The sequence below is a fragment of the Homo sapiens genome, chromosome 5 (genome assembly GCF_000001405.40).
Source record: "Homo sapiens chromosome 5, GRCh38.p14 Primary Assembly".
In the NCBI taxonomy this organism is placed as follows: domain Eukaryota; kingdom Metazoa; phylum Chordata; class Mammalia; order Primates; family Hominidae; genus Homo; species Homo sapiens.
The window spans coordinates 108,754,690-108,772,079 of NC_000005.10; the positions used below are offsets into that span (position 1 = coordinate 108,754,690).

General features: G+C 38.9%; 1 protein-coding gene across 19 annotated transcripts in view; it reads left to right on the forward strand.

Moving 5' to 3' along the window:
• Nucleotides 1–17,390, forward strand: part of FER (FER tyrosine kinase) — a 448,945-nt gene that overhangs the window by 6,793 nt on the left and 424,762 nt on the right. For 3 of the 19 annotated variants that reach the window (NM_005246.4, NM_001308028.2, NM_001308038.2), the window contains exon 2: nucleotides 13,404–13,549. The exons of the other annotated variants lie outside the window; for them this stretch is intronic. The gene's annotated coding sequence lies outside the window, so the exon portion shown is untranslated. The remainder of the gene's footprint in view (nucleotides 1–13,403; nucleotides 13,550–17,390) is intronic. 19 annotated transcript variants of the gene reach the window in all.

A 17,390-nucleotide genomic window follows, 5' to 3' on the forward strand; every position in this document is an offset into this window, starting at 1 on the left:
ACTAATTGTTGTACAAAAATTGAAATTAGTTTTCTAGTGTAAATCATTTTGCTTGCAAAAAGGCTATTTCTATATTGGGACTCATGGTTTTAAGAGAAGTGGAAACAGTACTAGAATTTTTATTTTCTAGGCACTTAGAATGTAAAAATGCTCTTTACATTGGCTCAGTCAGAAAAGTATCTTTGCATTACCATGAATAGAGCTTAATTTTAAATCACTCATCCTATGTGGAAGTACCACGTATAATATACAGTTCCAAGTGAAGACTTAGTAGACCTTTGATATTTGCAAGTGGTATTTCCTGAAACCTTTGTGAATCTAGGATATAACCACCTCCATAAAATGCAGTCAAATTTAATGGAAAAGTTTAAGTGATCCCTTCAGACCCGTACAATCCGGTAAGGAGGACTCGAGTCATTAAAGCTATTAATTTTTTTGCTTCTGAAATGAAGACTAGACAACTTTGCATTACATTATTTGTATACAGGCAAGGTTCTTATTCTTGCCCCTTGTATCCTATAGTTTGCAGAATAAAAGAGCATTTCTGGCTTAATCACAAAGCTTGCTGCGTTGTCACAAGGTTTAGTCCTTGGTCGCTGTAATGCTTTTCTGTATGCTTCTGTTTCTTGGATGTTTTCTCCTTGGAGTTGAACACTTCTGTAGTATGTGTCCTTTCTCTGGATGTCTTCAGCTTGGGAGACTTTCCCAAGCTTCCGTGGATTGATGGGGCTCCCTTGTTAATTTCACATTCTACAAAGAAAAGTGCATTTGACTCTTCTAGCAGTGTTCAGGGTTTTTTTGTTGTTGTTTTTTGAGACAGAATTCCACTCTTGTTGCCCAGGCTGAAGTGCAATGGCACAATCTCGGCTCACCGCAACCTCCACCTCCCGGGTTCAAGCAATTCTCCTGCCTCAGCCTCCCGAGTAGCTGGGATTACAGGCATGCACCACCACGCCCGGCTAATTTTTTTGTATTTAGTAGAGATGGGGTTTCACCATGTTAGTCAGGCTTGTCACAAACTCCTGACCTCAGGTGATCCACCCGCCTTGGCCTCCCAAAGTGCTGGGATTACAGGCATGAGCCACAGTGGCTGGCTGCAGTGTTCAGTTTTGATAACAAATGGGTCAGTAGCCACCCTAGCAGCTATACCACATCTTGTTTTATGAAAATATACAGTATCAGCCGGGCACTGTGGGTCACACCTGTAATCCCAGCACTTTGGGAGGCCGAGGTGGGTGGATCACCTGAGGTCAGGAGTTTGAGACCAGCCTGGCCAACATGGTGAAACCCTGTCTTTACTAAAAAAATACAAAAATTAGCTGGGTGTGATGGCACGCACCTGTAATCCCAGCTACTTGGGAGACTGAGGCAGGAGAATTGCTTGAACACGGGAGGTGGAGGTTGCGGTGAGCCGAGACCATGCCATTGCACTCCAGCCTGGGTGACAAGAGCGAGAAACTCCATCTCAAAAAAAAAAAAAAAAATAATAATAATAAATACAATAAAAAGAAAATATACAGTGTCTTGACTTTCTCTTGAATTATTTTTCTTTTAGAATTACATGCTTTCTATGTACGTTCTTATATAGGTTAACCATTACTTAAATTTTCACTAAGGTTTTAGAAACTTTGCTTTACTAGGAGCAAAGGAAACATTTTCAGGTATCACCTTTTTTCTTTGTTTCAGTATAGAAGTGTGTGATGGACTTTGTAATATGGAAAATCCAGTCACTATCGCATTTCCTGACCATTCTGAATCTACTCCAAATTTATGTATTTGGCTAAGTACCATTACTTTGTGATGCCTGTTTACTTTTAATATATTTAATAAATTTGCTATAGGAGAGTAATTAAGGGGAACTAAACAATGTAGTTGTTTCAGATAATTATTAATGATAACATATAATGGTAATATGTAATTAATTATAGGTCAATATAACTTATTAATATACTATATAATTAATGATAGATCAGTATTTCAATTATTTACAAGCATTTATGTTGGGGATGATGTATGAGAATCTTTATGTAGATTTATATACAATAGAAAATTTTACAAAGGAAGAAGCCAATTTCTTTCTCCTACACACACACACATTTTTTGTTTTGTTTTTGTATAGTTCTTTTTTCTCCCCTCCTCAACATTTTAACCTCCCAGGTAGAGACAGTTTCTGTCAATATAAGTCTTAAGTCTTTTAGTAAATTACATGGCTTCAGATATAATGGTGGGGGCACTAACATTTCTTTAGTGCCTGCTAAAAGTGTGATGCACTTTTGTACATTTCTTTTGAATTTATGAATTTGATGGCTTGCATGTTCTTTTTGTGATCTGGAACCAATTTTAGGTCATATCATTTATCCAAGGAGACCCAGTTATAAAATGATACTGGGATTTGAACTTGGGTGTTTCATACTCTAAACCTGAAATAAATGTAAATGGTAAAAGTCTGTAGTAAACTATTAATGGTCCTGGATTTAATAGAAGTTTCAGCTATTTGGGAGCAACTCTAAAGGTCTATGTTGAAATATTTGCAGTTTTGCTGAGATTACTTCCTCTCATTAGAAGCAAGACCCTAAGATATTCATGCTCCTGGCTAACAGTCTTGTGTCTATATCTTGCTTTGGCTTTGTTCTGTTTGAGATTGTCCTAAACTATAACTTCTGTGAAGTTATAACATGTTTCTTTGTAAAAAAATTTCCTGAAAAAGAAAGCCAGCTGCTAGAAGTGGAGAGAGAATAAAGAGGCCTGAGAAGGTGGTGGATCTTAGCTAGAAAACAGACATTTTTGAATAAATTTAACAATGGAATGTTGAATTCAGTGAGTCTTTGATCTTGACGCACATCAATCCTCCATGCCTTAGAGGTAAAAAAAAGTTAATTTGTGAAACATTTTCATTGAGTGTTCCAGCTCTGTCAAAAATTCTCATGGTCTTTAGACAGACTTCTTGAAAATGTCAGGAATCTTACGTTCATAAATCCTGTCCTCCATCCCTTCTGTCGCACCCTCAACAATAATATTTGAAAGGAATTTGTTTATTAACAGCTACTACTTTCTAGAAGTTAATATAGTTCTGACAAATATCTTAAAATGTTAACATAAACAACAGTGTCCTAACTTCTGGGATAATAGGGGTTTGCTATGGTGACTATTTCACAATTAATCATAACAAATATAGGAGCTAGACCTTACCTTGGTGGTTGCCTGTTTTAAGTTTCTGATTTCTTTTCTGTATTTTGGAGCCTGGTTTACCCTGTGTCTGGAACTGGCATTCTAAGATCTAAATGTCTTAGCTTGGAGATACTTGCTATTATATACACTAATATCATGGATTTTGAAAGAGGATGAAGATGGTGAAGAGATAGACATGGCCTTCAATCTACATTATAAAAATAATGTAGAAATGTTCTATGCTAGACAAGAGGCAAGCTGTTGCAGGAATGGGACAGAAAGCAGGAAGGGATGTGATTCTTCCATTTTCGGTCTTTCTACAGATGTTACTAGAATACACACCCCATGTGAGGATTTAGCTTATGGGTACAGATATTATAAAGCATAGAGAGGTTTCGGACTGTTTTCCTGAGAGGGAGTGTGGTGTGGGGAAAAGAGCAAACCTACCTAGAGTTGAATCTGTGCTCCTAGTAATAGCTGTATGAATTTAGACAAATAATTTAATTCTTATAACTTTGGGATTTTTCAAGTTCAAACTAAGGGTGATAATACTAGAATTTTCACGATTCTTCAGTTGCATGAGACCAAAACTCTGCTCATACTTAGGGCACTGAAACTAGAAGTATATTCTCTTTAGGTACAGATAGACCCTCATGTAGGCCTTCTCCATATGGAGCTCTGTGACATTTCTTTCAGTTGGGTTCAGGAAGCCAAACATAAAGACTTCTGTTTTCCTTAGTTCTAGCAAAAGTTCCAGGATTGTGTCTCGTTGAAGGATTCCAATCATTTCCCCATCCCTGATCCCATCGTCACAGGGATGATATATGATGATAGGCCATATCTGGATTAGGTGCTAATTACTGGAACTAGGAATAGGAAGTGTGGTCAGCTATGTCTAAGCCCTTTGGCCTGAGATTCACAATGGTTAGAATCACTCGAGGAAGGAGAAGATACTGTGACCCTGGAAGGAGGGAGTAGATGCTGGGTGAGCAAAACGCATTTACTATAGTCCTCTAGCGTGCATACATTTCCTCCTTTGTATATATGCCCTTGAAAAAAATGCCCTCACCTATCATTGTGTAAATTTCTTGCTTATAACTTTCGATGCATTTACCACCTGTCCCTCAAGAAAAGAAGACAACTAAGAGATTTGTTTAAGTACTGCATCTAGCTTTAAGACTAGGATCTCTGGATAATTTCTTTAGCTCTGTTTGAACAGACTGTCTTAGGGTCTAGCAACTTGCAGTTGACCAGTATAATTAATTGTAGTAAGGCCAGTTTTCAGTGATAGAAGGAAAATAGCATGTGGACAACAAAAACCCTTAATTGATATCCTACTTCATCACTCTTAAGTTCTGCCTGCTGTAAAGTCCTGGACATGGACATAATTCAGGCAAGTGCTTAATCACTTTATAACAAGGATGGCCTTTCCCCCAGTTTCCAATACTTTGTTCTCATTTCTGTCTGAGACCTCATCAGAATAGCCTTTACTGTTCATATGTCTACCAATATTCTGTTCATGGCAACACAGGCTTTTTCTAGCATTCATCTTCAGAACTGTTATAGCTTCTACCCATTACCCAATTCCAGAGCTGCTTCCACATTTTTAGGTATTTGTTATAGCAACATGCCACTTCTCTGGTACCAGTTTCTGTCTTAGTCCATTTTGTGCTTCTATAACAGAATACCACAGACTGAGTAATTTAAAAATAATAGAAATTTATTCTCTCACAGTTCTAGAGGCTGGAAATTTCAAAGTCAAGGTGTAGACATCTCATGAGGGCCTTCTTGCTGTGTCCTCACATGGCAGAAAGCCGAAGGGCAAGAGAGGGATGAACTGTGTGTCCTCACATGGCAGAAGAGAAGAGAACACATTCCTGCAAGCTCTTTTTGTACCAGCATTAATCCATTCATGAGGACTCCACCATCATGGTTTAGGTTTAGGTTTGAGACCTAAACACCTTCCAAAAGTCCACACCTTCCAATACAATGACCCTGGGGAAGTTTTCAATACATGAATTATGGAGAGCACACATTCAAACTATAGCAACTGGAAGAGGGAAAAAGGGGAAACAGCCCACAGAGATATCTCATCCATAATACAGGTATATTTCACTGGATAGATATGACAAGGATTTTTTGCCCTGGCAGTGGAATAAGATTTTTGCTTAGCCAATATGGCAGAATGGATGTTGCGTTAGCAGTCACAAAAACAACATTACTCTAGTACATCTCCATCAGAGTTTTTGGGTGACCAGGTGCATTGTTGATGATCAATAATATTTTGAAAGCAGTCTTCTGTTTTTTTTTTTTTTTTCTGAGCAGTAGGTCTGAACAATGGGCTTAAAATATTCAGTAAACCATGCTGTAAACAGATGTGCTGTCATACAGCCTTTGTGTTTTCATTCCTATAGCACAAGCAGAGTAGATTTAGTATCATTCTTATGGACTCTGCAATATTTAGAATGGGCAATGAGCATTGGGTTCAACTTAAAGTCACCAGCTGCATTAGCCCATAACAAGAGTCAGTCTGTCCTTTGAAGCTTTGAAGTCACGCATTAACTTTTCTTCTGTAGCTATGAAAGTCCCAGATGACATTTTCTTTCTATATAAGGCTGTTTCATATACACTGAAAATCTGTTGTTTAGTGTAGCCAAATTCATCAGTGATCTTGGCTAGAGTTTTGGATAACTTGCTGCAACTTGTACATCACCACTTGCTGCTTCACCTTGCACTTTTATGTTGAGATAGCCTCTTTCCTTCAGCCTCATGAATCAATCTCTGCTAGTTTCAGAGTTGTCTTCTGAAGCTTCCTCACCTCACCCAGACTTCATAGAATTGAAGAGAGTTAAGGCCTTGTTCTGGGTTAGGCCTTGGCTTGAGGAAATTTTGTGGCTGGTTTGATCTATCTAGACTACTGAAACTTTCTTTATATCAGCAATAAGGCTGTTTTGCTTTCTTGTCATTTGCGTGTTCACTGGAGGAGCACTTTTAATTTTCTTCAATAACTTTTCCTTTGCTTTTACAATGTGGGTGTTTGGTTCAAGAGGTTCAGCTTATTTTGGCTTTCTTTTCTTTTCTTTTTTTTTTTGAGATGGAGTCTCGCTCTGTTGCCCAGGCTGGAGTGCAGTGGCACGATCTCTGCTCACTGCAACTTCCGCCTCCTGGGTTCAAGCAATTCTCCTGCCTCAGCCTCCTGAGTAGCTGGGATTACAGGTGCCCGCCACCACGCCAGCTAATTTTTGTATTTTCAGTAGAGATGGGGTTTCACCATGTTTGTCAGGCTGGTCTCGAACCCCTGGCCTCGTGGTCCCCCCACCTCGGCCTCCCAAAGTGCTGGGATTACAGGTGTGAGCCACTGCACCTGGCCTATTTTGGCTTTCAACATGCCTTCCTCACTAAGCTTAATTTAGCTTTTAATTTAAAATGAGGGATGTGCAACTATTCCTTTTATTTGAACACTTAGAGGCCTTTGAAGGATTATTAATTGGCCTAATATCAAATTGTTGTGTCTCATGGAACAGGGAAGTCCAAGAAGAAGGAGAGGGAGTAGAGAATGGCTGGTCAGTAGAGCAGTCAAAACACACATAACACTTATCAGTTAAGTTCACCGTTATATATGAGTGTGGTTCTTGGTGCCCCAAAACAATTAAGATAGTAATATCAAAGATCACTGATCACAGATGACCATAAAAGATAATAATGAAAAAGTTTGAAATATTGTAAGAATCACCAAATGTAACACAGAGGCGTGAAATGTGTATATGCTTTGGAAAAATGGTGCCAATAGAGTTGCTCAGTGCAGGATTATAATAGACCTTCAATTTGTAAAAAAGGGAATATTTGTGAAGTGCAGAAAGTCGAAGTGCAATAAAACAAGATATACTTGTCTGATTTATGAGAACAGCAATTTACCAGCTATTTTGCTTATTAAGAATTGCTGACTTCTTACCCTAAAGTAGAGGATTACCAAGTTTCCTTCACTTTCTGTTATTGACTCAGTCCCACATTTTAGAAGTGTAACTTGTATTACCTTATTTCTAGTATAATTATTATTATTATTATTTTTTTAAGATGGAGTCTCACTTTGCCACCCAGGCTGGAGTGCAGTGGCATGATCTCAGCTCACTGCAACCTTGGCCTCCTGGGTTCAAGCGATTCTCCTGCCTCAGCCTCCCAAGTAGCTGGGACTATAGGTGTGTGCCTCCACACCTGGCTAATTTTTTTTTGTATTTTTAATGCAGACAGGGTTTTACCATGTTGGTCAGGCTGGTCTTGAACTCCTTACGTCAGGCAATCTGCCTGCCTTGTGGTATAATTTTTTATGTTTGTTAGGCTAGTTTTGGATGCCAGTGGCAGACACCTATTTAACAATTTAGTCCTTCCCATCTTTGTAAATGGCAGCTCCATCTTTGTTTTTGCCCTGACCCCAGTGTGAGCAAAGTTATCCTTGATTCTTTTCCTTTAGTTCTTCAACTTAGTCTTTCAGCATACTCTGTTTTCTTCAAAGAAATACCTATAATCTGACTTGCTCTCACCACCCCTACTTCTATCATCCTGGTTCGGCAACATCCTTTTTCTCCTTCTGCATGATTCCTAAAAAGTCTCCCCACTACTACTGTTGCTCTAAATAAATAGCCTGTGTTATCCTTTTTAGACGTAAGAGATCATGTCTTTTCTTGCTCAGAATCTTTCAGGGGTTTCCCACATAAAAGCTCAAGTCCTTAAAATGAGCTATAGTTTCATGGTCCTGCTTTCCTTCCTTCATGCAGGATCTTTCTCTGAACTAGTTCTTCTCTGAACTGTAGTTTAAAATGGGCCACGGTTTTGTGGTTCTGTTCTCCCTCCCTCATGCGGGATTTTTTTACTATTTTCTCCACCATTCACTGCACACAGGCCTCCTTGTTTTTCCTTAGATAGACATTTTGTACTTTCTGTTCTCTGCTTAGAATGCCCTTCTTCCAGATAGCGGTTCCTTTAGCTAACCATGTGACTAACTTCCTTATCTCCTTCAGGTCTTTGGTAAATGTCACTTTATCTGTAAAGTCTTTAATCACTCAACATAAATTTGAAATCTCCTACCTACTTCATACTTACCTTTTTCTGCTTTTAAAAATAGTGCTTATTACTACCTAACACTGTGTATTTTACTTACTTATTTTGTATTTTGTTTGTTTCCTCTTTCTAGAATATAATCTCCAGGAAGGCAAGAATTTTTACCTGTTGTATAGGAAAACTCATGGCACACAGATAGCATAGTAGGCTTTCAGCAAATATTTGTTGAACGAATTAATAAATAAGAAAAAAAAAATGTGTCGTTGCCTCACGTAACCATTAACTCTGAAACTCTGAAGGGACTTAGAATACCCTGTTTGCAAACAAGCAAGTTACCTTGCCATACTTTTATATACATACATTAATAGAAGAGCCCTGGGTCAGAGACTCAGAGGGTTTATTGCAGTAAAAGCAGTGGCCAGAGAAATATCTTAGTGCTAGTTCTCCCTGCCCCATCTCTGTGACAAAACAATGTGATGAGGGCCAGGTGTTTACCTACACATGCAGCAGATTTGCATCATAGGAGAGGAGCCTTGAAATGAGGAGACTCCAAGCTTGTATAGGGTGTTGGCACATCTGCCATCCTCCCCTGCAGAGCGAGAGAGAGATTACTTATTAAACACATCGCTTCCAGAGGAGAGGGAGAAGGTATCTTTAGGTTTCTTACCCTAGAATATAAGTAAATGTTTCCAGGGAGGGGAAGGAGAAGGCTTAATTTCTCCAAAGCTCTTTGGAGTTTTCTATCTTTAGGGAGATACTGTCTCTAGCTTCCAAGGCTGTCTGTTATGCAAATATCCATTTGTAGTACATTTTGGTCAGAAGATTCTGTGCAGGAACATGAGAAATGCAGAGTGAATTGTTTCCCAGCAGTAATTCTGAATTCCAGCAGCTATATCTATTTACATCTGAACTCATATATAGGGGCAAAATATTTTCAGACATTTCTCCGTTTCTCTTCTCTTGGTTCTTTGTTTGGGTTGCTTGATTGTCTAGTAGGTACTTATCATCATCTTTCAGTTTAGCAACCTTGGCTGAAAGATGACTTTCCTTCCTGATTAGCTTCTGCAAAAATGTTGGGATTCAGTATTATCTGTTCAATTTGGGTAACATACCTATTCCTAAACTACTGCTTGCGAGAAGGAATATGCTGATTTCCCAGACCCAGGTTATGTTCCTACCCCAGAAACATTAGAGTGCTGGTGATCAATGCCACCCAAACCGTGTGGATTGATGATAAGAGAAGGATAGTTTGGGAAAAGAAAATTAAGATGCTGCTACCAACAGAAGGGGAGATAGATGCTTCAGAGTAAAAAACAACACAGGTCTATTACTTACATGCACATGCAACTCACAATCATTTAAAAAAATATAATCTTACTGTATATAGATATAACTACTTCATTTATTTTTTACCTACCACATATCATGAACAAGAAATTTTCTTTGAAAACAATTTTATTTTATTTTTTAAATTTAATTTTATTATTTATTTATTTATTTTTGAGACGAAGTTTCACTCTTGTTGCCCAGACTGCAGTGCAGTGACGCCATCTTGGCTCACTGCAACCTCTACCTCCCGTGTTCAAGCGATTCTCCTGCCTCAGCCTCCCAAGTAGCTGGGATTACAGGCATGCGCCACCATGCCCGGCTGATTTTGTATTTTTAGTAGAGATGGGGTTTCTCCATGTTGGTCAGGCTGATCTTGAACTCCTGACCTCAGGTGATCCACCCACCTTGACCTCCCAAAGTGCTGGGATTACAGGCATGAGCCACTGCACCTGGCCGTGGAAACATAATTTTAAATGGTTGTAAAATTATACTTAAATTCTTTGTTTAAAATAAATATTTAGTTTATCAGAATTGGATTTTGAAAAACTAAGGGGATATTTATTAGAGAAGTGGGGAGAGTAGAGATGGGAAAGAGAAGTAGAGCCAGGACTAGGGTAAGGCAAGAGAGTTGCCTAGGACACAAAATATGAGACATAATCACTTTTAGGGTCATGCAGCTGCAGGGTGGCACTTGCATGATCCTGAGAGTATCTCCTTAAATTTTGCGCCCCAGGTATTTCTTTTGCATCACCCTAGTCCCATTTGTGAAGACAAGCATATTTCAGGGAATAGGAACTATTTTTTGGCTATGAATGTGCGTTAGAGATGAAAGTATGTGTAATTGAGGAAGTTCTTGGGGAAGATTAAGGTGCATTAGAAAGCAGTCATTATGCATTTTCAACTGTTATGTATGGAAACGTTTGCTGAGTCTGGTAAGCATGATAATACCTTTGAAGTAACGCAAGGAATATAATTTTTTTGATTCATAGGTTTATAGTAGTTTGAATTTTAAAAAGTTCCATTTAGAGATGCCACCAAAAAAAGTTGTTACTTTTAACCCAAATCTTTTCAATATCAAAGAAAAATGCTTTTTGTTTCATTGGAAAATAAAAATTATAGAAAAGACTGAGTTAGAGATTGAGACACAATACATGGGTCCTGTGACTAGCTTACTTTCTTTTCTCTTTTCTTTTTTTTTGACAGGGTATTGCTCTCTTACCCATGCTTGAGTACAGTGATGTGATCACAGCTCATTGCAGGCTTGACCTCCTAGGCTCAAGTGATCCTTCTGCCTCAGCCTCTTGAGTAGCTAGGACTACAGTGGGCTAGCTTTCCTGAGCAAGATACTTGACACTGCTCAATATTGGGCATGGAATCTCAGTTGAATAGTTGTCTTTCTTGAACTTAGGTCTGTGGAAATAACCATTTCCATAGCAAAGTGAGAGACTAGAACAGGGAATTCTAAATAATGCAACTATCTTTGCTGATAGAGAAGAGAGTTTAAACATTTTTCATATTAATTGGATGATCTAGTAATTTTTGGGTTTGTCTTTGGAGTGGAATTGGATACATATATAATGTGTTTTGTTCCTCAGAAAGCTGTATGAGTAATACTGTTTACTGAACTATACCCTGGGGATTTAATTAAAGATGATGTGTTGAAAGCAGTCAAAAGTGAAGTCATGACTGAATTTTTTTTTTTTTTTGAAGCAGGGTCTCACTTTATTGCCTAGGCTGGAGTGCAGTGGCACAATCATTGTTCACTGCAACCTCAAATTCCTGGGCTCAGGTGATCCTCCCACCTTAGCCTCTCAAGTAGCAGGGACTACAGGTACATGCCACCATGCCTGGCTAATTTATATAATTTTTTTGTAGAGACGGGCTCTCACTATGTTGTCCAGGAGGGTTTGGAACTCCTGGACTCAAGTGATCCTCCTGCCTTGGCCTCCCAAAGTGCTGACATTACTGGCATGAGCCACCTCATCTGGCCATCATTAAAATTTTATATTTAAAAATAATTTTGTCATGAATTTTATCGTTTTATATAACAACTCTTGTTGATGCCTTACTTTACACCAAAGTGTACAAATCAGAGGAAACCATAATTCATTTTGGAATTTCATTCATTTGGTAGTCACTTGTTTGATGGCTACTGTGTTCCAGGTACTATGCAAGTGGCTGACTGTGTTAAGATAGAAATTCTTGTCTCATTTATGTCACAGTTTTATGGAAGAAGAGAAATGTATTAACACTTTAATTACATATAGATTAGATTTCCAACCAATTCTAGCTTTAGGAGCTTTGCTATATCTAGAAGGGAATAAAATGTTTTCCTAAGGGCGAAGGCACCCTTTGGAAATGGTTAAAAGATTAGAAAAGTAGACTTGGAGAATATGCCTGACATACTGTGTTTGATCTGTTTGCTGACCAGAAGGAGAGGAATAATCTTGTTGGTAACATTTATGGAATGTCATCTGATTGATGTGAAAGTCAAGGCAGTAGAGGAAATGATGGGAGACAGAGTAGGCAAACAAAAAAGAAGAACTTGGAAGAAGGGGAGAGTTTATGATAAACCAGGAAGTTGGGATTAAAAATAGTATGGCACAGGCAAAAAGTGAGACGTTGTAACAGGGCTGTAAACTACATATATTGACCTCAGTGATAAAGGAGAGAGTGACCAAGAAAACCTCTCAGAAGAGTTCACAGTTTTCAAGGACTGAAGGGAGAACAGCCAATTCAAGGATCATACTTTGGCATACTGAAGCCTATGAGGCAGAGGCCAGGCGCAGTGACCCATGCCTGTAATCCCAGCATTTTGGGAGGCCGAGATGGGTGGTGGATCACCTGAGGTCAGGAATTCGAGACCAGCCTGACCAACATGGTGAAACCCTGTCTGTACTAAAAATGCAAGAATCAGCTGGGCGTGGTGGTGCATGCCTGTAATCCCAGATACTCAGGAGCCTGAGGCATGAGAATCACTTGAACCCAGGAGGTGGAGGCTGAGTGAGTCGAGATCATGCCAGAGCACTCCAGCTTGGGTGACAGAGTGAGACTCCATCTCAAACAAACAAACAAGCAAATAAATAAATAAAACATATGAAGTGGAGAAAGTATGTGTTTGCTGGGGGAATCCTTCCCAAACCTTCCCCAGCCTTTGAAAAAGTTTTTCTTATGTACTTAATTACTACTTTAGGCTGTAATAATATTTTAACAAGCATAATCACTGGCTTCTTCTGATGGCCTTTCAGACTTTTTCGGTTTTTGAGACAGTCTTGCTCTGTCATCCGAGCTGAGGTGCAGTGGCATGATCATGGCTCACTGCAGCCTCAACCTCCTGGGCTCAAGCAGTCTTCCTACCTCATCTTCCCAAATAGCTGAGACTACAGGTGTGTGCCACGATGCCTGACTAATTTTTAAACTTATAGAGACTAGGTTTCACTGTGTTGCCCAGGCTGGCCTCGAACTCCTGTACTCAGGCCATCCTCCTACTTTGGCCTTCCACAGTGTTGGGATTACAGGTGTGAGCCACTGTGCCTGGTGTGTTTCAAACTTGAAGTTAGTTTTATGATGTAAACGTGGAGAAAAACATGAATTACCTCTTGAAAACTGAGGGAATAGGTTGGAGGAGAAGGTAACAATACATTACTGTTTCGGAAAGTTAGAGAAAGATAGGGGAGGGAGTAAGCAATGGATAGATAAGTTAGGTAAGTGTAGCATTCTTATTTTTAACGTAGCAATTGTCATAAGCTGTCACAGTTAATTTCCAGGAATAGCCAAGTATACTGAAAGTGTACATTTTTATCTCTTTCTCTGTAGTGAACAGTTCTGACTCCTTGAATTTCTTCTTGCAGCTCATGTTTTTTGGCTAGACCTATGACCATTTTCGCTAGACTTCACTGCACGTTTTCTCAAGTATCTTCTTTGTCCCTAATGTGTGACACCTCATCATGGACACGCTACTTTAGCTAAGGCATGACCAGCAATGAACAGTAGTAAGGTAGGATTACTTTATTCTTCTTAGTAAGTTACTAAACCGTTTTTTATTTTGGGTCTCTGAAATTGTGACTTGTCTTGATTTTGTAGTATTCTTTATGTTAGATTATTCTACTGTCTATGTAGGCTGTTACTGTTTTATATTTGTGTTTATTTATTTTTTGCTTGTCATCTATCCCAATGATTTTACCTCATTTGTGACATAATTATTTTTCTCAACTAACACTTATAATTAGCAGAATCCCAATCTGTATCTCTTCCTCAATCTGTGTGCCCACCAGTCCTATATTTTCAACCATTTGGCACCAAACTGAACATATCATATTTTTCTTCTCAAATACTTGCACTTTGTTCTGATTTCTGTATTTCCATTAATAGCATTATTAATCTCATTGTCTAATATAATCATATATTCATTGATTCATTAATTCATTTGAGGTACATTGATATTCTTCTAAGTGTCATACAGTGTGCTGCCTCTGAGGATGTAATGATGAATACACTGGATGTTCCATCCTTATTTCTATCCTTATATTCTGGGGGAGGGGATAGGTTAAAAATAAATTGACAAAACAATTATGAATTATAATACAATTTTTTTTTTTTTTGAGACAGGGTCTGGCTCTGTCGCCCAGGCTGGAGTGCAGTGGCACAATCTTGGCTCATTGCAACCTCCGCCTCCTGGGTTCAAGCGATTCTCCTGCCTCAGCCTCCCAAGTAGCTGGGATTACAGGAGCTCACCACCACTCCTGGCTAATTTTTGTATTTTTTTAGAAGAGATGGGGTTTTGCCACATTGGCCAGGCTCTTCTCAAACTCCTGACCTCAGATGATCTTTCTGCCTCAGCCTCCTAAAGTGCTGGGATTACAGGCGTGAGCTACTGTGCCTGGCCTTATAATACAATTTTTTAAGGAAAGCAAAAGAACAGATAATTTGGAGTTGAGGAGGTGGAATCTACTTTAGATAGGGTCATATAAGGCTCCTCTGAGGGGCTGTAATTTAAGATGAGACCTATTATATGAGAAGGAGCTATTTAAAGAGTGAGTGTTGGGGCAGGGGAAGGGAGTAGTTTTTGATTGGAAGAGCATTCTCATTAGAAGGAATATGGTGTGCAGAAACCCTGAATGAGGAAGGAGCTTGGTGAATTTGAGGGACCAAAAAATACCAGTGTGGTTGACACAGAGAAAGAGGCAGATTTGAGTAGGAAGAGATTATAGAAATATTTAGGGCTTTGAAGGGTTTGGCCCGAGGTTTGCATTTTATATCATTTTAACTGCTGTGTGAGACATGGACTGGTTGAAAGGAAAGTGAAAGCTGGCTTTTAGGAGCTGAGGTGAGATAGTGATGGCCTGCATGATGGTTGTAGCAATAAGGGAGAGATGGATGAATTTGAGATGCATTTTTGTGTTTTTTTTAGACAGAACTCATAGGACTTGTATGTTGTTTGGGCATGGAAAGAGAGAGAGAGAACATACTCAAGGATGACTTCAAGAATTTTGGTTTTTGAGCAGCTGATTAGAAGCTGGTATCATGTACAGAAACCTTTTAGAAAACTATCTTTCTTGTTAACTGATGGATTGCTTATTTTAGCAAAAGGCACTTAGCTATAGTGCTAGAAATAATATTAGTGCTGGAAATAAAGCATCTGGCAAATTTGTAATATATACTAGTTAATACTTTATTTTGCTTTTTTTCCACTGATGATGATGATGATGATGATGATTTTTTTTTGAGACGGAGCTTCACTCTTGTTGCTCAGGTTGGAGTGCAATGGCACAATCTCGATTCACCACAACCTCCACCTCTTGAGTTCAAGCGATTCTCCTGCCTCAGCCTCCCAAGTAGCTGGGATTACAGGCATGTGCCACCATGCCCGGCTAATTTCGTATTTTTAGTAGAGATGAGGTTTCTCCATGTTGGTCAGGCTGGTCTCGAACTCCCGGCCTCAGGTGATCCTCCCACCTTGGTGTCCCAAAGTGCCGGGGTTACAGGCATGAGCCACTGCGCCTGGCCTTGTATAATTTTTAATTAATTATGAGTTGAATTTTATCTGACTTCAGAGTCTTTCTGGAAGTAAAAATAATTGGTCTATACTTTTATACTGAGTTTTAAGTCTACTATCCCTTGTGCTCTTTTAAAAGAGATAATTCTTTTAAGATTTTTGGCCAGTCCGAAATCTTCCCAGACTGTTAATTCAAAGTTCTAATATGTAATTTTATTGTTATTTATTTCAAAGATTTCCTTTTTTCTTTCTTTATGGGACAGAGTCTCGCTGTATTGCCCAGGCTGGAGTGCAGTTGCACAATCACAGCTCATTGCAGCCTGGAGACGGAGACAGAGTTTTGTTATGTTGTGCAGGCTGTTCTCCTGAGCTCAAGCCATCCTCCCACCTCAGTCTCCCAAAGTGTTGGGACTACATCTGTGAACTACAGTGCCTGGCCTATTTGGAGATTTTCAAGCATCTCACCCTTAGATGTATGTCATACTAACCTCACTTGAAAGCATCTAGCTTGTCTAAATTCCTAGGAGGTTCATTTATTATCTTTTTGGTTTTACAGCTTCATCAGAGGATATTTATATTCAGCTTCTTAGGATTGATATTTCAGGTGCAAAGTGAAATGGAATAAACCTTAAAATAAATCTGTGTATTATTCGTTTCTTCTAAATTCATCAGTAGTCCTACCTTTCATTTTTTTCTCTGAAAAAAAATTTTTTTTTTTGAGATGGAGTCTCACTCTGTCACCCAGGCTGGAGTGCAGTGGTGTGATCTCGGCTCACTGCAACCTCTGCCTCCCGGGTTCAAGCAGTGTTCTGTCTCATCCTCCCGAGTAGCTGGGATTACAGATGCCCGCCACCATGCCCAGCTAATTTTTGTATTTTTAGTAGAGACAGGGTTTCACCATGTTGGCCAAGCTGGTCTTGAACTCCTGCCCTTGTGATCCACCTGCCTCGGCCTCCCAAAGTGCTGGGATTACAGACTTGAGCCACCATGCCCGGCCCCTCTGAAGAATTTTTAAGATGTTTTCTCAAAAAAGTTAGTGTGTGTGCTGTCTATAAAAGGCATTTGGTTATCTGTTTTAACTATTTTATTTTTATCCTTAAACAGTTCTATTTTTTCCACTTTGCATATGGTTATCTTTTGAGTTTTAGAGCTGAGAGGTAGTAGTAGAATTTTAGTAGTAGTAGGATTTTATAACTGAAAAATGCCTTGGAGATTATTCCACTTCCTTCTCCTTTAGCTGGGACCTAGAGAGGTTCTGTGACCTGCCCAAGATCATGTAGCTGGCTTTCATAATTGTTGAGGCTAGTGCTGCTTTCACTCATCATGCTTCAAACTGGTCTCCTCTCATGCTTTCTGTATTTCTCTCTTTTCAACATTTATTGAAAATGTTCAGTGCCACATCAAAATTGAGTATATAGGACAATGAACACCTATATTACCTTTTACCTGGACTCACTGTTAACATTTTGCCACATTTTCTTTGTTCACATATTTATATATGTAAAAAATATGTTAAAAAATCATTTGAAACAATATTAAAGACATCATGATAACTTAAAACTTTTAGCATGCAGATCCTGAGAACATGGGTAATTTCCTACATAATCACAGTACCAATATCATATATAAGAAAATAACCATAACATTAAGAATGTATTTGTCTTTTTGTTCATTTTGGCTGCTATGACAAAATACCTGAGACTGAGTAATTTATAAACAACAGAAATTTATTTTGCATGGTTAGGGAGTCTAGGAAGTCCAACATCAAGACACCAGCAGGTTTAGTGTCTGGAGAAGGCTTGTTCTTCATAGTTTGTGCCTTTTTGGTGACCTCATATGACAG